A 23121-nucleotide genomic window follows, 5' to 3' on the forward strand; every position below is an offset into this window, starting at 1 on the left:
GGGGTGAAAATGACTCAGAGGCAGGTGGTACCTACTGTATTTTTGTGGAGCTGTCCTGGGGCCTGTGCCCTCAATGCGTGGCCTGTCTTTTCTGGGACTTCAGGCTCTCTCTATGAAGGGCTTTCCCTGTTTTATGCTCAGGGCATTGCCTAGCTAACATGAGCCTATCTCTGGGTATTTCCACTGAGGGTAGGCTGCGTATCCAGCTATACATGGGAGTACCGTAGTTCCAGGGCCACCACTAGCTTTCATTGCCTTTGAGCAAATGCTGTCCTGCTCCAGAGTTTATGGCTTGGCACAGAGTGGAATCTGCATTTCAGCCGGTGCCCAGCCCTTAGCCAGGAGTCTTGTGCAGTGATGAACTCGCACAGCCATTTGCAGTTTGCAGCGCCCCTATGGATTGCTTCTGTTTCTGCCGGATGGTGATGAAGGAGTGCTCCAACACATCAACTCTGTAGCACAATAGCTTTCACCCACAAAGCTTTGTTTCCTATATTCTCTCTGGCTTACCTAACCAAAATATTGAAGTCATCTTTGACTCCTCCCTCAACCTTTACATTCAGTTAAATACTAGTGTTGATCCCACCTCTGATTTCTCAAAGACTATTTCTGTAGTTCAAAAACCAAAAGAACTAACATTGACAGAGCCCTGCCATATGCTGGGTACTTTAGGTCTCTTTTACTCATTATAGGCTATCTTCTTCTTCCATTATGTTCATTTCGTAAATGTGGAAAGCGAGACTTGGAGAGTTTCACTATCATGGCCTCAAGCTAGTAAGTGCTGCCTACCCAGGTCTGTCTGCTTCTAAATTCCAAGCTCACCTGCCCTGCATTACACTGTGCTCATCAATCTGCTCCAGGACCTACCATTAAATAGCTTTGCCAACCCCACACTTGCCCTCCACCAGCCTATCTTCCACACTGGTGCTGGAGGTAACTCCCCTAAATGCATACCACCTATCCTGTCACCTGCAGATTTTTGAGGACCAGCCATTTCTGACAGGTAAAGTTCACCCTTCCCAGCCTGTCATATGCAGTCTTTACTTATTTCCCCAGCCTTGGTTCCTAACACTCATGCCCCATCTCCAACACCATCAGACTGAGACCAACACGTCCAGGCCCTGGGGATAAATGGTAAAGGGAAGATGTTGCAGGATTGGCACTCAGCATTCAAAAACAGTTGTTGTCTCTGGGGAAGAGCCACAAAAGGCCTTGAATAAACACTGAGAGCTGAGCAAATAAGCACATGCATTAGAATGCCTGCAGGGTGCCCACACTAGTTAGGGGTGTGGCGGGCTTTGGGAGAAAGGCTGGTGGTCAGGTCTGCCCCACTGAGGGCTGCTGGGAAGATATTCACCGAACTGCCTAAATAAGTGGCCTTAAGACGCCCCTAACCCAGGTTCTGACACCCACATTGTACTTCCTAGTCACACTGAGTTAGTTGTTCTTTCCCATAGGTACCCTGTATTTTCATACTTCATTCACATGTGCTATTTCGTACTTCATTCACATGTGCTATTTTTTCAGCCTGTAAGACTTGCTGTCATCTGGAAAAATTTTCCACTCTCCAGGGTCACACATTATTGTCATCTTCTCTATGAAGCCTTCCAGACTCCTTGTAGGCAGTGTTACAACTCTCCTTTGTGGTTTTATAGAGGAAGGGAGAATGTTTTGGTAAGGAAGGGGTCTGAGTTGGAGAATGAGAAGAGGATGAGGAGTAGAATGGCGTCTCTTCCCCGCAGAGCTCTTAGGTCTTTGCTCATTCTGGTGCAGTGGCATTAGCCACTTTGTATGGTGAATAGTTTTGTAAAATAGACAGATGTCTACAGGTACTTCACCCTTGCCATATAGCAAGCTTTTAGTGCTCCCTGCCTCCCAATGGGCCGCCAGTTATTTATGGAAGGAATAAACCAGTTACAATACATCATAGCTCCGGCTGTTTGAACTTTCTGGCTCTAGCCATCCTTGCCCATGTTCTCTGCCCATAAAGCCTTTACAGATGCCTCACCACTGTCATGGTCTATCAGGGGAACAGATGCCAGTAGCTATCCAAGCTGCGACCTCTTGATAATCCCAAACTCCTGTTCTCTAAGGCACCAGCGCTGGGCAGGGCTTTGCGCAGATGGTAGGAGTGCATCTTCTGGACCCTGGACAACTCTATACCCATCCAAGAACAACATCCATGCAAGAAACTCTTTACCCCTCCTGCACATCCAGTCTGCAAGCTCCAATGGAGAATAAGTTATATTTCTTCCCCCACTATCCTTCCCACTCCATCTAAGACCTGTCCTCAATAAAACTCTCTTCTATTAGGAAAACAAAGCTCTTGTGCATATGAGTGAATGAGCTACAGCTGTTGGGAGTGAGGACAATCCTATCTTTAGATAAACACCCCACAGAAATGGGTGGATATGTGTACCAAAGGACTTATACAGGAATGTTCACAGCAGCATAATTTTTGTAGCTAAAAACTGGAAACAATCTAAATAACCATCAATAACAACATGGATAAATGAAGTGTAGTATATTCATACATGGGTATGGTATACCGTAATGGAATAAACTACTGCTACATGCAGCAATGCAGATGGATCCTGTGTGCATAAGGTTGAGCTAAAACACCCAGCCACAAAAGGGTGTGAACTATATGGTTTCATATGAAGTTTTTTAAAAGGACAACTAATTAATAGTGCTGGGAGTCAGGAGGAGAGTTATATTTCAGGAGGAGAGAGCAGAGGGGATCTTCTAGAGCTTTGGTATAGAAAGAACTGATTTAGGGGTGAACGTTCTGCCTAAGGCCTGGGCCTTCTGCCTGGGTAAGAATCTCTGACCAGTTCAGAAATGGCCTACATTCATCAGATGCAGAGGCAGTCTTTTCAAACTGTCCATTCAGCCTGCAGTGGGGGCATTTGGAATGGATATGAAGAATGACATTTTGAGTAGCTTGGTGTCCACTCTGCTCATGGGACAGAACCTAATGATTGATTCAGTAAGTAAAATTCCAGGAAAGAATTGCGTGCATTTAGATATGGGCTTCTGTGGCAACAATGCTAGAGCTGAGGAAAAATGGAACAAGCTGTCATAAACAGGCAAAAGAAAATAGCAGTTTCCATCTGGACCTTACCTTTACATGGCTGTTTTAGCCGTGATCATTCCAAAATGAATTTGAAATCACATTTTACCTCATTTCTCTTTATATCTGGCCCAATATTTCTTTTGGTAATCCATGGCTATGAAGCCCTTATAAACAGAATCCTGGCCTATTTTCAAGGATGGGAGATATGACACACCAATTAACTCTAGGAAGGTTTGAATTTAGGGTGGTTTTATTTCACCATGCAGAATGTTTAAGCCATATCTCAACATAGCCAGCTACTGCAAATTCCAATCCCAGAATCACATTGCTCCCATAGTGGATCATCTGGCTGTCAGGAGATTCTCAGCAAACAACAACAACAACAAAAAGCATTAGGCCGCTTCTTCCTAATTATGTCTCTCTCTAAATATCTAATTATCATTGAGAACAAATTGCATGTTACAGAGATAATATTATGGGGAATCGTTAATCTGTTGGGCTTCTGCTTTTGAATTCCTGAGTCGGTACTGCAGCTGCTGAAGCAAAAAATTCTGCCACCTGGACACTTCATTATGATTTCATATTTAAATGCAAAAAAACTGCCGAAGAGAGGTTCTATTTGATGGACTTGGCTTCTTCAGGCATTTCGTACTTAGCTACGCATCACATGTACAGGTCTTCCAAATATCCCAGGTACCTGGGAATAGTGAATAATTGAGCATTTACAGGGACAGAATTACAAGGGAACAATGGGAATATAGTAATACCAATAAGGTGACAGTGGAATTGACTTCTCTAATTATACTTTCTTTTTATCCATGCACAAAGGTCTGCAGCTTTTTGTAACATTCCTCAGTAACTGCATAGGACTTCCTTAATAAATGCTGATCCAAAAAGTACACATTCCCAAAGATTACCTGATAATTGCACCTACCATAATATGCTTAAAGCTAATTAACATTCAGACTTCACTTTAGAGAATAGAAATTACCAGGTACTTATCCCATAATTACATCTTTGTGCACTCACTATTGTAATCCCTGGCATTAGCTATGTAATTAAATGATGAACAGTGACTGTGTAAGTAGAGAGTACTTATGTAAAATTTGTGTCTTATCAAAAATAAATAAATAAACAGATTCAAAGACTCAGGTCTCATTTGAAATTCCATTGTTCTCAGGGAGATTGTATAGCATGTCAAGAATTGATAATAATACTGTTAGCTCCTTGAAGGTGGGAAGATGATAGTACTGCCACTCTGTCAGGAAGATGCCCACTGTGGTTCATCTTACCACCAGGGATGAGCGGCGCCAAGCAAGTCTCACGGTTTTTTTCTTGGCATGCCTCAAATAACAAGTACTTAGACACTGTCTTACTAAATCTGACCTGTCTCTAAGCTATGAAATCCAGTAGTTTTTTGTCAGATGCTTTGTGCAAGAATTCTTTTAAAAAAATAATGTTTTCATCTGATCACAATGCTAACATATATTCATCGTGGAAAGTTTGTAAAATATTGAAAACCCACAGAAGAAAATAGAAATCACTTATAATTCCTTATCAATGTTAACTTTTTTCCGTATATGCTTTCAGTCTCTCTTGTAGATGAATCTCACTGTATCTACATATATATGTATACTTCTTGCGACCTGCATTTTAGAAGCGGTATATTGTGAACATTCCAATGAAGTATTATTGTCTTTTATCATATTTCTCATGACTCCATTATAATCTGTAATATTGGTAGTCCCTAAATTATTTAACCAGTTTTGATGGACGTTTAGGCTAGTTTTTCAACATTAATTTCTATCATTTTACTATTCACCATGTGAGGGTTCTCTAAAAGAAGTTTTAAATGTTGTGTTTTCATGAAAACATGTTAAAGGTCATTCATTCTAAGTTATTACCTTGTGACAATGTCAGTGCCTGCGTTTGCATCTGTATTCACAGTGTGCTGTGCTGCGTGTCACTTTCATTGTTGTGAGCTGATGAGAAAGGACAGAGGTCTGCTTAATAAGTAAATGATCATATAGTTGGTTCCACCGAGTGAAACCAAAGGACCTCATAGTATGCAGGACAAATGGAAGTTCAAATAGCAAAAAGCAGTGGCAGGATTGAGCCATCACATGGAGGTAGCAGAGATACATCAAACTCAAAACTAAAAAAGAAAATAGAAACCCAAGAAGTTGATACCATATTCACAGCAGACAGCAATCAAGGCTCTCATAAAAATCATTAGTTTCGAGACCAGCCTGACTAACATGGAGAAACCCCGTCTCTACTAAAAATACAAAATTAGCCGGGTGTGGTGGCGCATGCCTGTAATCCCAGCTACTCGGGAGGCAGAGGCAGGAGAATCGCTTGAACCCGTGAGGCGGAGGTTGCAGTGAGCCAAGATCGCACCATTGCACTCCAGCCTGGGCAACAAGAGCGAAACTGTCTCAAAAACAAAAACAAAAACAAGAACAAAAACATTAGTAACTCTAAATTAATGTTGTTGTTTTGAATGTCATGTGATTTGTAAGTATTGTATTTAATTTGTAGATTTGTTTTACATTTGTTTGGATTGTATAGTTGTATAAGAACCATAATCCTAAAGAGCCACTATGTAATTTCATATTTTCATACATCTAAGTAACAGTAAAATTAATTTAAGTCAACAGTGAGAGTCTGTAAGAAGTTTCCATTTTTAAAACAGATCCATACATTTTCTCAATTTGGGTTACATTGTCCTCATAGCTACATCATTATGCATATCCTTAGAATAAATTATTTCCTCAGGGAAATTTCTTAAACATAAAATTATTGTCAAATGTTATAAACATTCTAAGGCTTTTGATGTTTCTGTCAAATTTGAGTACAGACTGTTCAAGTTACTTTTCTCCCTTTAGTTTACCCTTCATTTTTAATACTTTCTGCAGTAGTACATTCGTTCTAGTTTGCCAAATATTTATTGAGTGCTAACCATGTGCAGGCATCATGTATTGGCATTGACTAGTGAACATGTTAAAAATGCATCATCATGGACCCCACACCAGACCAACTGAATCAGAATCTGCATTTTCAAAAGATCCCTAGGTGATACGATTGCATATTCAAGTTTGAGATGCATTGTTCTAAGAACTAGACCTGGAGGTCGACTGTCTCTCTGACACTTCCTCTTGACCATCTCGAAGGTGCCCCAAACACAATATGTTTGTCTTAGTTTTGGGAGCTGCTATTACAAAATATTACAAAATATCATAAACTGGGTAGCTTATAAGCAACAAACATTTATTACCCTCAGTTCTGAAGTTAGGAAGTGCAAGATCAAGGCACCAGCAGATTTGCTGTCTAGTGAGGGGCAGCTTCCTTCCTAGGTGGATGTCTTCTCACTGTAACAACACACAGTAGAAGGTGCAGGACAGCTTTCTGGGCTCTCTTTTATAAGGGCACTGGTCCATTCATGAGGGCTCTGCCCTTGTGACCTAATCATCTCCTAAAGGCCTCATCTCCTAATACCATCACACTGGTGATTAGGTTTCACTACGTGAATTTAGGGGGCGGGGAGAGGCACAAACATTCAGGCTGTAACAATGCTCAACATAGAGCTCTTTTTTTTTTTTTCACCATGCCTAGTTCTTTTTCCAGTTTTCCTCTTCTCAGTGAGTGGCATCACCATCCACTCTCTCATGCAAACCAGAAACCTTCCTCTACTTTACCCCCCATATCTAATTTATCACCGAGTTCACTATCTCTCACATCCCTCCTATTTTTTCACTCTCTCTCCACTGCCACCCTCCTTGTCTAAGCTACTCTTGTGTGTTGCCTGGATATTTTGCAGTATCTTCTGAACTGGCCCCCCTGCTTCCATTCTTATCCCCTCTAGTTTATTTTCCACAGTAAGTTGTGGAAAAGAGTAATCTTTTGGATAGGCATATTGGAACTTATCACCAGCTTGCTTAAAACGTCCAAAGGACCTTCCATTGCTCTCATGATAAAGACAGAAATCTGTAAGGTGGTCCCACGAGATTGAGTCTTGCTTGCTCTCTAGACTTGTTCTGTGCCGAGTTCTCTAAGGTAGCAGTCCTCTCTCACTTTGCTTTCTCCTTACCCTTCAGTTTAGCTAGTGAACTTCTATTGTTCCTTAGATTGTAGCTCAATCATTTCTTCCTCAGAAAACCTTCCCTGACCTCCCTAATTAGATTCTTTCCTCTTGTTCTGTGATCTCAAATTACACAACTTATTCCCCTGCGTTTTTATCACTGTTGTAACTCAACATTCATTTTTGATGTCTTTGATTAATATCTGGCACCCCATTAGAGTGCAAGCTCCATTAGGGCAGAGACCACATCTGTTTTTTCAGGGCCAGAAGATGATAGGTGATGTCTTACAGGTCCTTACCGCTCTGGCTCTCTTCATGAGTGGTTCTTCCAGATGGAATGCCCTTCTCCTCCACTGTCACTTAAATAAATAATACCTGTCTTTCAAGATTGAATTAAAGGAACAACCCCTCAATATGATCTTCCTGGCGGAAGTCCTCTTCAAATCCTCTTATAAGGTACTTATTACCTTCTACAATAATTACTATGCATTTTTCTCTCTCTGTATTAATCAACGTAAGTAACCATTAGTTGCTGCAAAAGATAAACAGAAGTTGAATTTCACCCATACCCAGTTCAGCTTGGGCTAACTGAAGCACTTCTTCATCCAGTGACTTGACGATTTAGGCCCCCTTCATCTTATCAGGCCATTTTCCTAGCATGTGGCTCACAAGGCAGCCACAAAGCATGGAGAGGCCTCCCAGTCTCTTAAATGACAAGGCACAGAAATGGCATGTCACTTGTGCTGACATTTCGTTGGCTGGAACTAGTAATCTGACTCCTCCTAAATGAATGGTGCAGTGGAATATAGTCCCCTACATACCCAGGAGGATGCATAGAGCTAGATATGAGTGAAAACTAGTCATCTCTACCAAGCTGTAGTAAACTCTTGAAAGAGGACAAGATCTAAGCCCAAATCACTTTCAGAACACTAAAGTATTCAACCTCTCCCATATTTGCCAATTAATACAAGTTGCTGATTCAATGAATGGCTGAGGATTTCAGAAGAGGGAGACAAAAGCAGAGAGAAGCAGAAAGGCAGATACAGAGCAGCACTAGAAGACAGCATCTCTCTCTTAGTCCATTACTATTTGTTTCAGCTACTTACACACTTTTGGGCAGTGCTAACTAAATTGATAAACAGCCTGCCCCACCCCCACCCCCACCTCCCAAAGTCAGTTTTTTGGGGTTTTTGTTTGTTTTTGAGACAGAGTCTTGCTCTGTCACCCAGGCTGGAGGGCAGTGGTGCTCACTGCAACCTCAGCCTCCTAGGTTCAAGCAATTCTCATGCCTCAGCCACCTGAGTAGCTAGGATAACAGGCATGCGCCACCACGCACCACCCGCAGTCAGTTTTTGTTATAATAGCTTGGCTTCCTATATGTGATATTATTGAAAAGTTTCAGAATAACGCCCATGTGCTGGACAGTGTGCAAGGTGTTTTACATAGACTGCTATACAGTCATTCTTTCAGCAATTCTGCAGTACAGGCATTCTTATCACAGAACTCACAATTTTCTGCCTTAGAATGTGCATTGAACTCTGTCTGCCTCTAAAACCTGTGTTCTTAACCACGACACCACATTGAAGTTTATTAAACATCCGAATATTTATCAACCCTGAGAATGAGCGCATATAAGTAATGTGATTAATCTACCCATTATAATCCCTGTGACTTAGCCTTGGGAAATAGACTCTAAGGAAACACTTGTAGAATTTTGCCAAGACAGTAGCCAAATTCCAAGGAATATATGTGTATTTAATTAAGTTACATATTCTAAAGCCAGGGTGATGAGCAATTTGGATAATGTTTCTGGTGTGTGTGCATTGGGGGAGTGGTGGTTTCCAGATGAGACAACAGCCACAAAGTACCTTGTCATTTCTTCCATTGATATATATACTCATATATGTTTGCACAGATAAGACTAGCTTTTGGCTTTATGCTTAGTTTTATGTACAGTACAAACATTAAATCGTGAAGGTGTTCATCACAGGAAAACCAGAGAAGCCCTCGTAAGCCTTATAAATCATTGTCCTTATACCCAGCTCACTGTGGGTGGTGGACCGTTAGAGCACATGGGGACAGAGTGGCAGTCTGTGTGATGTTAAGAATGCAACCTATTAAGCAGAGAATGAGAAGTTGAAGGATTCCATTTTTCACCAGCTCTAACATGGTTAATCTTTAAAGCTATTTATTGAACACAAAGACATTTGACTGAGCACTTTGTAGTATGCATCTTTCTCTACCACTCTCATTCATCACCTATTTTCACCGAATCTTTGTTAAGATTTGCAGTAATGGTGCTGTATAAAAGGGCCTTTATGTGACTCACAGTCCCTATAAAATATGATTTTTTTTCTTCAGATCATCTTTTGAAAATTGCTGCTGCTTGTTATTTCACATATTTTTTTCCAAGTGCATTAAGTTTACCTGCAACGGGAAAAGATTATTTAGAGAAACGTACACTTTCTATTTCCTTTAATAGCTTGTGTTATGATATGTTTGATAGTTCATGAAGGACACTGTCAGATTTGGAGAATGAGCCAATAAACTTTAGGTCCTAAGAAATATAGCCCCGTAATGATGCCTACTCATATGCAGAGATATTTTATCAGCTTAATGGTACCTTTTAGTGTCTGACACCTTCGGTTTACAGGTTTGCTCGATGGCCTGTTTGCTTCTGTGCCAAATTAGTGTTGAGGGAGGTTTCTGATGAGAAGAATATTCAGTTTGGATATTAGAGTTATGGCCGTCAAGTTGGAGGCGGTCAGCCTGGTTTAATCTCAGATGGTACCTTTTACTGCAGATGCCGACTGGGGACTCATGAAATGCCCAAGCAACTCTTGTTTGGCTGTAAGGGTGCAAATCAAGGTGTGTGGGCAGGGGAGAGCATCTCTTGCCTACAGCATTAACAGACATTTTATTTTGTAAAATATGTTCTATCTTCCCCAGGTTAAAAAAAAAATCATATGCTCATCTTATTTTAAACAGATTCTTTTAGTGGTAAATGAAAGCTTGTAACCTGTAAGGTAGCATTTATCTTTATATTCAAAGCTTGGGCAGCCATGGAAGAACATTGGGAGTGAGGACACTTATAAAAGGAGGAGAATGTGGGGTCAGGAAGCAGAGAATGCAAAGAATAGTGTTCTGGAAGAAAAAGGGAGGCCAACTGTTATCTCTAAACTGCCTATGCCTGTGAACTTCATCCAAGAACAGAACATCCAAAAACCAGGCTTACTAGCCTTGTCTTTCTTTTTGGAAATACAGAGTTTCGCAAATAAATAAGGGGATACTTAATTATCTCCAAGCAAACATTTCATGTGAACAGTATAGCAAATTATATTGTGCATATATAATGCCAATGTTTGGAGCAGATGAAGATGACTGAGTTGCAAGGTGGAATGATGATCGTGAATCTTCTGTCAGTTACTCCTCTGTCCTGGATCTAGTCATTATACATTTATTTTTCAACGTCTTCTGTTTTAAAATGACTCTTCTCCAAATACTAGATCACTTAGTTCCTTTTTGTAGATAATTTGTATCCTTGAAATGGACAGGTACTTCAAATATCACAAGAAAGGGTAGCTTTAGTTTTCTTTTGTTTTACCGGTTAGATTATCTGGCTGAGGTTGATTTAACTCAGTCAGGTAAGCTAGTAAAAGTTTGTCTTTCCTTAATAAGACTGATTTTTTTTGTTGCATTTATCCAACAATCTTGTATATTCTAAATTTTGTGCAGTTTAAATAGGACATTGTTAATTCAGTTCATCAATTCATTACAAATGTGCAGTACGGATGCTCACACATTTACTTCCTGAATGGTAGATGCAGGGTAAGAAAAGCAAAACCAGCTTCATGATATCTGTGATCAAGATACATATTAAGGTGAATACGGACAAGATTCTACTGAGTCTGCTGAAACCGTTTCAAATATTTTGGGGTTTTGTTGTTGTTGTTATATTACTCTGTTTACTCTAAAATCAGGCACTTGAGGCTTTTTTTCTCGCCTCAGAAAGATATTTCTGAAATTCATGACATTGTAATGGTGATTTTTATTAAAGCAAAATTTGATGGCTTTTGTTTATGAGACCTGCCAAACAGTGCAAACACAATCAGTTAACTATTTCCTTTGGAAGGAGTATGGTAAATTTTTGTGTAAGAGACTGTTTACCCAATAAGGGGGGATTTATAGTTTCCAAAAGTGTAATATAAAAACAATCTTCAGTTTCCCCATGTTATATATACATCTAGTAATATACTTTCTGTCCTGTGTAGCTACCAGCAATTTTAATATATATAGTTACTCTTAAAAACTTTTATATGATACACCACTTTTTTGTTACCTTCTAATAAGAATAGTGGATTCTAGGCTAGCAATATTTCATGCTGATGATACATATCTTGTAAGACTATGAACTTTTTGAAAGCAGGCATAGCAAGCATATAATTTAAACTCTACTGTATGCATTAGAGATTACAGAGGGCCTGAGTTTCCTCAAGCCACCCATCTTATTAAGTCATAGCACTGCATACTACATAATGGATTTGAATTCCGATTGAAATCATTCATGATCAGGGAATATTTACTCTAGATATAGAAAATTCAGGCAGCTGGGAAAAAAGAAGGGATCGAGTTGTTTCACAAGCCTGCTTATGCGCCTGTGTTTGTGATTGTAACTCTAATTATATTTGTACTGTATTATAATGAAGTAATTTAATTAAATGTTCCATAAGTTGATAAAATATTTGCTCAAAAGTTGTTTATATTAAAATTATATTAATACTTTAGAGAGACTCAAGACAAGTTGCTTTTAAAAATTGCTATTGAATTCTTTATAAACATATATGTCATGGAAACCTAGGGAGGAGAGAATTTCCATAAACAGACTATGCTTCATTGTGTGCCAATGCCTCAATAATAGGAGGAAAATAAAGAATGTGTAGAGGCCATGGGCTTGGCATCTCAGGAACCACTGCTGACAATGCAGGTTCGAGTTTCATCATATAGATAACGGCAAAAGCTGGATTTCAATATCTTAGGCATGAGGTTGAGGGAAATGGGGGCAGAACATGGAGATCATGATTGTGTGGCATCATTCAGCAGCCAGGTGAAGTGGAGAGGCGGGAGTTATGGAGAAGTTGATAGTCTATCGCTGGGAAGGACTTTAAAAGAGTATGTATGAGAGAAAAAGACTTTAAAAGAGTAAGGTGTTTAATGAGTATGATGCAGAGGAAAGAGCAAGGTTTCGGATTTGCAATCTGTGTGCCTTTTATTAATGTATTTAACCTCTGAGCATCTAGCTGCTCCTTCTATAAAACTGAAATAATATATGACTCAACAGATTTTGGGCGAATAAAGTTATATGTAGATGATATAGCATAATTCGTTCTTTTTCTTTATATCTTGCCTTCTTCTGTTGGAAGACTGTATTCTACTGAGCATGTTGATGGGTTAGCATAAGCACTTTGGGTGCAGGCCTGGGGAAAGCTGAATAGCCCTGGATTCAGAAAACAGAGTTCCAGCCACTCCTGCAGATGATTCAGGAGGCTGCGGCTGGGCAGCAGAGGTGGCAGTGGGCAGTGAAGGGCTAGCAAATGAGACAGATGCCTGGCATGAAACGCGACTACTTCCATAGGACCCCCACGCAAACAATAATTTCTGTCATATCTGTTGAACTCACAGATGTTTGGTGTGGATATAGTGTGAACCAAATAAGGACCTTTGTTTCATGCCAGGGTCAGTAGGGCAAAGGAAAGTTTCTCAGGGAAGACAAAATTCAAAAGACCATCACAACTTGATATTCAAGAATGGACCAAAAAAAAAAAATCTTAGGAAAGACTTTGTACTTCTACAGGATGAGGAAAGAGACAAGGGGAATAGATGGAAATTTCAGTAAGACTTCAGTTGGCAAGGAAGCCCTGAGCTGACTCCTGGGCCACATATAAAGCCAGGTGTCTTCAACATAACTGACATGGAATCAGTGATGCTAATTAGCATAATATTAGATCAAAGATGCACCAAAGGGCATTGTTGAAGGTCCACTGTCCACAAAGTGGTTGGAGGAATGGGACTGAGATGATGGCTGAGTTTCTTTTCTTTATAGGACATGCAATTAATGACTGCAGCCGAATTTCGGCTCTTGTGTTCCGTCTTCCTAATTCCTGAGCATTGGTCATGAACTTGCTAGCCTTGCCACAATTTATCCAGTAAACAATGTTTTACTCTCACCTTTACAGAAATCTAAGAGCTTTGAAATTGGCTACATATAGATGTAATGTATGTAGGGCAGGGAGCACCCAAGAGAATTTTTTTTTCTCTAAGATTACAAGATATTTACCAGACCTCTGAAAAAAATTGCTGGAGTTATAAATGTGCTGGGAACCACCTAAAAATCCCAAGGAATATTAGTTTTTGAAATTGGTGCCAAGATATTGACCATTGTTGCATTCTTATAAAGATCTAGAATATGTTCTTATGAAAGAAATTTTTATCATAATTGTTTAAGTCAGCAGCAAAATCGCGGGGTGTCTGTTATGCTACCCACAATAATACTCCTGGACAGAGAGAATGACAATATCAGTTCTTTAAAAATCCAACACAAATATCTCCTTCCTTCTGTTTGTACAAAGGCAACCATAATGGCTTTTGCTTCCGGCAGACTGAAGTAACATGTGGGGTCTCTGTAGAAACACTTGGAGTCTACAAAATGAGCTTTTAGCTTATCCCCTGGTAGTTAATTACTATACCTCTAGGTCAATTAGATGGCTCTCAATTGCTCAGTTGTAACTGTGGTTTCACTCACAAGCTGTGTGTGGTAATTCTAGTTTACTTGTTTTCTTAAGTAAAACTCAAATTGCCGTGTGCATGAGATCCAGAATAATGATCAAAACTGAAGTATGCTGAAGTGGGCTATGTAATTAAAACAATTTCATCAAAAGCTTCGTATTTTAAGTTGCCATTATATTGGTAATGCTCTCTTGGTTCCTCCAAAGACCATTTCTAAAAGTAAAAAATAAAATAAAAAGAGCATTTTACCTTCATAACTAGCACTAATAATCAGATATTTGCATGATCTGAAATGAAACAAGAGGTACACAGTCCAAGGTGGTCGTGTGTATTGAAGGAACAACACTGCACTGGTCCACCGGGGATACAGCTGAATAACCTGGAGGTATTTGTTGTCATTCAGTATTCCCGGGTGCAGTGCCTTTTCAGCTGCCGCAAGGTTAGGCATACAGGAGCGTGTTGCACACGGCTGTGCTCATCCTGCCGTTCTAATGTGAATGCATTATTTCCAGCTTTGTGGAAGCTCCAGCACATTTATAATCACTTTCTACTCACTCTTGACTATGACTCCTTCATCTGACAAACCCTCAGTGAAACATCTTCTGCCTGTCACTGTCCCCCTCCACTCAGGAAAGCCACAGACCTTGTTTGTGCATTCAGCAAACACTTACTGAACATCCACTGAATACCGGACACTGCTGAATTCCAGGGATATAAAAGCGAGTAAGACTCGGACCCGGTGGTCAAAGATGCTAATGTCTTGTGAAGAAGACAGACATTTAGACAAGTAATTACAATAAAGTGTAAGAACTCTTACTCAAAGAGGGAACACCTAATTGTATCCAAGAGTGATGTGCAGAAGAGGAATCAGGGAGGCCTTCCCAACGGAGCTGATGCTTGAACTGGGTCTAGAAAGATGCAAGGAATTTGCCAAGTGGTTCAAATGAGAAGTCAAGATATTAGCAGACAGGGGAAAGAACATATATGAATGTGGAAAGGATGGCTTTGTGTTTACTAATTCGATCTACCAGGTGGATGAGGTTGCCATAATCCAAGAAAAGGAATATAAAAGGAGAGAAGGGGATGTGTACAAGGAGCCCAGTTAGCGTCTTCTGTGTTATTGTCACTGTCATTATCATCATCATCATCATCAAACCATGTTTGTAAAATTCTTCTAACACGTTCAGCAGACTGATTTTTTTAAAAACCCATAAAAACATATTGCCCATTCTATAAAGATTCAGTAGTATGCTGTCTTCCTAATATGTATTCTGAGATTATGGTTCTGCCTGTACTATTAAATTATAAAGTAAGTAATGACTCACAAGTTGGAAAGCTGAAATTGACCAATAACCACAAAATGATTTAAAGATATCACTTTTTTATATTTCAAAGAAATCAGTAATTCCTGTGCTAATTAAACTGTTTCACAGCATAAAGAAAAAACTGAATTTTTTCCGAAGCAAGTGTAAATAGTTATCCTTTTATTATAGAATGCAAAACCTGACAAAGATAGCGCAGTAAAAGGATGCCTTGAAAAACTGATGATGTAATTTATTCAAGACAATAAAGGTATAAAAAGATCTGGTAAAAGTCTGGAAAAAATAACAATGAAAAGTCTAATGGAGTGTGAATAATTATCCCAGATATTAAAACATAAAACTATAGAGATTAAAACAATGTGGGCTTTGGCCTCACTACACAAATTAGTTAAAAAGAAAAAGAATACAGAAATAGATTCAAATATATGTGGTAATTTAGTGCCATAATAAAGAATATAAAATAAATGAAGGAAGGATGACTTTTCAATAGTAGTATAGGGAGAGTTGGCTGGAAGCTGTTCAAAAAATATGAATTCAACCATTCCTCTTTATATTAATTTTTAAGTTCCAGATAGATAAAATAGTGTACTATAAAAAGGCATACATAAATACATAAGATCGAAATATGAGTAAACATTTTTACAAACTTGTAATAGGGAGGACCCACAAAGAAAAAGACTAATCGCTGGTGACTGCAACACTGACACATAAATTCTATAACCAAACCTCAGTGAAAGACTAAATCAAACTAGCAAATTATTTATATCACTTAGAATAAGTATCCCTAACATAAAGAGTCCTGATTAACTAATTTTCTTAATGTGCTAATAGGAAACTAGGCAAAGGAAGTGAATGGGCAATTATACATACATACATACATACATACATCCCAAAGAAAGAAATAGGAATGGCCTATATGAACATGAAAATATATTCAATCTTGCTAATAATTAAGGAAATGCAAGTTATGACTATACTGAATTATCATTTATGATTTATTAGATAAAGATGAAACAAATCATAATATCATCTGTTGGCAGTATCTGAAGAAATGGGCATGCTCATGCGTTGTTGGAGGGAGTGGGGCAATTTTTAATCAAAATTGGAAGGTACTTTATCTAGCAACCCCTCTTAGGAATTAAAGATATTTGAAGAAGTATTCAAGGGTATTGATTTCAGCTTTTTCGATCCTAATGAAAATTGAAATATTTTAAATGTTAATCGGAAGGAGATACAGTTGATCTATGCAGACATACAAAGCTTAAATGCTTAGAGGGATCATGGAGCTAGTTAAATGAAGGAGTGGTTCAGGTGGAAGACAATAGGGAGTGATGGGATCATAGAGAATGGGAGAGTGTCCTCACAAAGGGACAGGCACTCTCGGCTCCAGCTATTTGTCACCATCAGGGAATGCTGAGCCCAGGCTGCCAGATTTTTGTGGAAGAGAAGTTGAAAATCGAAATTTGAGAATGCAGTCCCCGGATTTTTAAACTAAAATGTAAAAGAAAACACAGTGCGGATCATAACCAACACTTTCGCCAACTCTGGATGTCATAAATTTGTTTCTTCTTTGTTTATCTAATAGGTCATAAGTGATCATTCATGTTAGTCGTAACTTGCATTTCTTTAAAATTATTAGCAACATTAAATATATTCTCGTATAGGTCATCCTTATTTTTTTTTTTTGAGACAGGGTCTCACTCTGTTACCAGGCTGGAGTGCAATGGTGTGGTCTCAGCTCACTGCAACCTCCCGTCTTCCCGGGTTCAAGCAATTCTCCTGCCTCAGCCTCCCGAGTAGCTGGGACTATAGGCATGCACCACCACGCCCAGCTAATTTTTGTATTTTTAGCAGAGACGGGGTTCACCATGTTGGCCAGGATGGTCTCAATCTCTTGACCTCATGATCTGCCCACCTTGGCTTCCCAAAGTGATGGGATTACAGGCATGAGCCACTATGCCCGGTCCCCTTTTATTTCTTTGATAGGTAGGTATGTATGTATGCATGTGAATTGTCTATTCACTTCCTTTTCCTAGTTTCCTATTGACAAATTTACTTTAAAATTAATTAATCAAATACCAAATTTAGCTTTCAAAATCCAGTTTGCACCATGTGATTTGTGCAGTGAAAGACTTCCAGGCCATCATTGTGGCAGGCTGTTCTGCTGCCCCCACGTGGGCTGTCCCATCTCCAAGACAGGATTGTCTACCCCATGCTCTACTGTGTGCCTGGCAGTGCTACTGTGTGCCTGGCAGTGCTGCTGTATGAGCAGTGCACTGGCCCAGCCCGTTAATGTGGGGCCAAGCATGTGTCTCCTTTTGGCCAAACACATACGAGTGGAGGTGACACACACCTTGTCTAGGAGACCTTAAGGCCATAACAGGTCTCCACTCCACTGTTCCACACTCTGCATCTGTCCTAAACAGGGACCACCTGAATCCTGGAATGAGATGGCACATGAAGCAGAACCGTAATGAATGACGAACCCCTGATATGTTGTGTAGTTATAAGTCACCAAAACTGTTGGGTTCATTTTTGTAGCAAAGCTGACTAATTTTTAAAATTGTTTAAAATATGGCAGTTTTCACTGACATGAAAAGATCTCTACACTATATGGCTGAGTGGAGGAAAACAGCAGCAAAACAGAATACATAATATGAAACTTTTTTTGTTTCTTTACTTTTTTCTTCTCCTTTTTTTTCTTTTTTTTTTATTATACTTTAAGTTCTAGGGTACATGTGCACAATGTGCAGGTTTGTTACACATGTATACATGTGCCATGTTGGTGTGCTGCACCCATTAACTCGTCATTTACATTAGGTATATCTCCTAATGCTATCCTTCCCCCATCCCCCACCCCACGACAGGCCCTGGTGTGTGATGTTCCCATTCCTGTGTCCAGGTGTTCTCATTGTTCAATTCCCATCTATGGTGTTCTCATTGTTCAATTCCCATCTATGAGTGAGAACATGCGGTGTTTGGTTTTTTGTCCTTGCGATAGTTTGCTGAGAATGATGGTTTCCAGCTTCATCCATGTCCCTATTTTTTTGTTGTTGTTGTTGTTTTTGAGACGGAGTTTCGCTCTTATTGCCCAGACTGGAAGGCAATGGCATGATCTCGGCTCACCGCAACCTCCACCTCCCAGGTTCAAGCGATTCTCCTGCCTCAGCCTACCGAGCAGCTGGGATTACAGGCATGTGCCACCACGCCCTGCTAATTTTGTATTTTTAGTAGAGATGGGGTTCCTCCATGTTGGCCAGGCTGGTCTCAAACTCCCAACCTCAGGTGATCTGCCCACCTCAGCCTCCCAAAGTGCCGGGATTACAGGCCTGAACCACTGTGCCAGGCCCATTATATGAAATTTTTAAGTAAAATGTTGCATATTAATATACCTCCATATAGCTATATGTATTTTTAAAAAAGCCTGTTAGATATGCAGAATTGGTAATAGTGATTGTCTTGAGACGCTGGACTTGGGACAGCTTTTACTGTAGTTTTTCCACTTTCCTGTATTCTTGATTTCCTGTAACAAATCATCTTTGTAAAAAGAAATTAATATTTCTACATGACTGATGGTTAAAAGAATCTCAAGAGCCATATAGAACATAAAATGATTCCACCAGAATAATTTTTCACCCTCAAAAAAGTAAATATCTTCATCTCATAAAAACTTGATTATAGAGCCAAGACTAGCCAAGGCACTCCTGAAAATGAAGATCAAAGAGAAAAGATTTGCTTATCAGGATTTCAGGAATTATTATAAAGCTATACTAATTAAGACAATATGCTACTGGCATAATACAAGTATGTGAACCAATTTTAAAAAGTGGAGAGTCTACACATATCCAGAAACTTGATTCATGACATAGTTGGCATTGTAGACAAGTTGGAAAGAAACAGAGTTTCCAATAAATTGTGCTGGAAAACTGGTTGTCCATATTTTTTTATAAAAAGATAAATTGGGCCCATACCTCCTATTATAACTCAAAAATTAATGCCTCTTGGCTTAAAATTTTAATATGAAAGGTAATATCATAAAACATTTAGAAGACAGTCTACAAAAGATCTTAATGACTTTAAAGGAAGAGAAAGATTTCTTTAATATAAATCTCAAACGATGAAAAAATTAATTCAGCTACATTGAAGTTGAGAACTTCTGTTCATCAAAAGATTTCATTTAAAAAAATTAGAAGATAAGCTACAAAACAGGAGATAATATTTTTAAAACCTGCAAAAGGCAAAAAATAATATGTAGTTATTTTTCAGTGCTTATGATGTGCCAGATGCTTATACTAAGGCTTTACATGTATTAATGCAGCTAATTTCACAACAACCCCATGAGACAAGTAGTATTGTCATCCCCATTTTGTAGATAGCACTGAGGCACAAAGAAGTTAGGGAACTTGCTCATGCCCACGTAGTTAGGAAGTAGCAGAGCTGGAATTTGAACCCAGGCTGACTTGCTTTGAAGTCTGTTATTTTAATCACTCCAACATGACGTTATACTGCCTCAGCTATATTAAAGGATGATAATTCAAAATATATGAAGAGCACCTATAATCAATAATAAAAAAGACTAGCAGTACAGTGCAAAAAGGGCAAAAGATTAAAGGGTCATTTTACGGAAGAAGAAAAATAAATGATCAGTAAATATGTGAATAGTAGTCAATTTCACTAGTAATCAGTGAAATGCAAATTATAGCTACTTTACATCCACCTGATTCTACAATGTAGAAGAGTCCACATCCTTGCCAGCATGAAATAATGGTATAGAGGAGTTCATATCCTTGCCAGTGTGAAATAGTGGCACAGATATGGACTCTTCTACACTGCTGGAGGGAGCATAGATTGACAAATATATTAATGTCATCATTCTCTTAAGAGTTAATTAATTGATATTTTGGTCCTACTATGTAAAAATTTTATGGAAAAAGTCATCTCTTTAGGTCACATTTTTCTCCCACATGGACACATGAGACAGTTCTATTAAAAATAGAAGCAAATATGTCTCAATTGATAAAATATGTATATGGAGTTTATTAAGTGGTTTGTAAAATATAAAATTCATCTTTAAAACTTGAAGGGAAGTATGAGCCTCACTCAAGTCTATTTTGATTAAAAAGATAGTACATATTTGAGTGAAAAAAATTCTTTAACTTATTCTTAAGGGCCTATTTAAGACAGATTTTTATCCCAACTTGGAGGCGTTGACAAACCAAAATGGTAACTGTTAATTGATGGCAGGTTTTTAGGCAGTGGGTTTTTTGTTTTTTGTTTTTGTTTTTGTTGCACTTAATATGGTGCCCTTTGTCTCATTTCTCACTGTCCCTTTTATGCTTTTGTCTTAAAATATTAAATCAGCAAGGAAAGTGTCAGAAGATTACAGTTTAGTTCATTGCAAACCACAGCTTATCTTTACACTGACCTGCAGAACAGTCTTAGTGATGTTATTAGAAAAACACCAGAGAGGAACAGAACTGAGAAGAAAAAAAAAAAAAAAAAAAAAGCTTTGCTTTTCTAGAACAGTTTCTAACAGTGCTAAAAAACATCATGTTTTGAACTATCATTTTTTGACTCGGTAATCATGATAGCGAGCAAATGCCCTCTATCCCCTCAGTTCAGTCCTACAGAATTAAGTCCTGGAAACAGCGGCTGTCCAGTTTGTTAAAGATTGACCTAGGAAAGATCTCAATGCTACCAGCACCTTATAGGGCGCAAAATGTAATAATAGGGTAAATTATGTTTTCTTTTTCACATTTGCACGCTGAGATTGTTTTGGAGATCTTTTAACTTAGCTCGTTATAATCAAGTTGTACAGCCTTTGTTTTAATAAGATTCTAATCCTGAGGTCTATCCTTCGCATCAATGACTTTACACTGTTAATTGCTTTCTTGTCCTCCATTAAATTGCGGTTGCAGTTGCTTCATCTTAAAAGGCGCCTTGTGCTTTGTATTCTGCCCCATGCTCTGCAGACACACTTAGTAACATCATCTTCCTAAAGAACAAAATTACCTATTATCCCTTTAATCTTGATGTACTTTTTTATGTGTTTGGTTCCTAGCTAGTGTCCAACCAGGAAGCTACATATTATCTTCTTTTAAAAAAAAATGTTTTTTTAAAAGCCGCATAGTGTGGATGGCCAAAATTTATTTCTCAATAGAACTCACATAGTGCATTCATTTATTTTTTATAGGACTAATTAAAAAGACAAAGGGATCTATTCTCCCCTTGATACACCAGAGTGACTTCCATTAACATTAATGGAAGGGAAATACTTGCATGGAGATGAGTGGAGACCTCATATTAGAAAGTGAAAACAGCAGAGTCTGGAGTGAATGTCCCCACGTTTTTGATGAGAGAAGCTACACAAAAAGCAAATAGCTCAATTCACAAATGTGTTTTCCCCCTATGCTTTCTGTTTGTTTGTATATTGAGGAAAATCAGCGAATATTTGGAGGCAGTTCCTTCCTTCAGAAATCAATTGGATGTGAATTTGTAATTTTAACACGAATGACACAACTTACAGGAGGAACTCAGCAATGAGAAGCAACGGGGGGATCTGACAGGTCTTTGCTGCAGTGGAGTCCTGTGAGACCTGCTTCTGGAGGCAGAGGTGAGAGTAGAAATTGGATACCTGAAGAACTCTGTACACAGAAACTTAATTTTCAAGGAAGCCCAGCTGTCCGTGTCAAGCTGATCTTTTGACACATCTTTCCAGAAATCTATCAAAATCTGGAGACTGCTTCTGACTTTTCAGTGTAGCCTCTGAATCTGTGATCCTCTTGGCCCCCTTGTATACCTTATGAAAGTTTTAAATTTTAAATGTACATAATCTGACACACACTGGGGAAGTTTCTCTTTTATCATGTCATTCTTAGGTTAATTACCAGGGAATTAATTATTTAAAGTGTGACTAGCTCTCCATGCTGTATATTGTTTTAAAATATTGATACATTCATTTTGCATCTGGTGGGTGCTAAGTTCAAACTGCTTTTTACCCTTTGAAAATGTACTTCAAAAATACAAGCAGTCTTCTGAGTAACAAACCTCTCCGTGGTATCTTGCCACTGCCCTCCATTTCCCTGGCCTGGACTTTGCTTTAGCTGCTTAAATCAGGCTCAGGAGCATTATATTTTGCCTCCAGTCTCTCCCTCCCCCTGTCTGGTTAGCACTATCTCTGGAATTTTGTTACTATTCATACTGACCTGGAAAATGCTTCTAAGATACTTTCTTACTTTAATTGCTTCCTTTCTTAACTATGACAAACTCCCTGCTTCAGAACCTTACCTGGAACTTTCTTTGGAGCTAAAAGAGATTCAAATCCTTTAGCCAGAGTTCTTTGTTCAGCTTAAAGTGTGACTTTCCCTGTCTTATATTTATCACCTTTAATACCTTCTCCTGTCTTGGGATCCAATTCAGCCTTCATCTGCTCTCGTCAGAATTTCCTAAAGAATCATCTATATTTTTCTTCTCACAGTAAAACCACATTTTCCTCCATACTTCCTATGTTGTGAAGTGGTTTGCAAAATGTATCCAGAGGAACTTGGGCTGGAGGAGAAGGAGAAGGCAGTGGCAAGGAGATCCCATAAGCATTTCATTTTAACTTTGCATTTTAAAAATCCTTTCATTCCCCTAAGATTTTTTAGTGCGTTAGTTCAGGACCTCTGAGAAGCTGACACCAAGACGAGGTGAAATGTGCAAGAGCTTTACTGGGGGACATGCCTATGAAGGGTACAGGGAGGAAGCATGAGTAAGTAAGGACGGCCTCAGACCAAGAGGTAAGTCTGGCACCTGTGGGAGGCAGTGTGGGGAAGGCTAAAGGAAGGAACAATGATTGGGTAGCATGGTGCAGTTCTAAG

General features: G+C 38.9%; 1 protein-coding gene across 7 annotated transcripts in view; it reads left to right on the forward strand.

Moving 5' to 3' along the window:
• Positions 1-23121, forward strand: part of ATRNL1 (attractin like 1) — an 855635-nt gene that overhangs the window by 787632 nt on the left and 44882 nt on the right. The gene's annotated exons all lie outside the window — the stretch shown is intronic.

The sequence above is a fragment of the Homo sapiens genome, chromosome 10 (genome assembly GCF_000001405.40).
Source record: "Homo sapiens chromosome 10, GRCh38.p14 Primary Assembly".
Taxonomy (NCBI): Eukaryota; Metazoa; Chordata; class Mammalia; order Primates; family Hominidae; genus Homo; species Homo sapiens.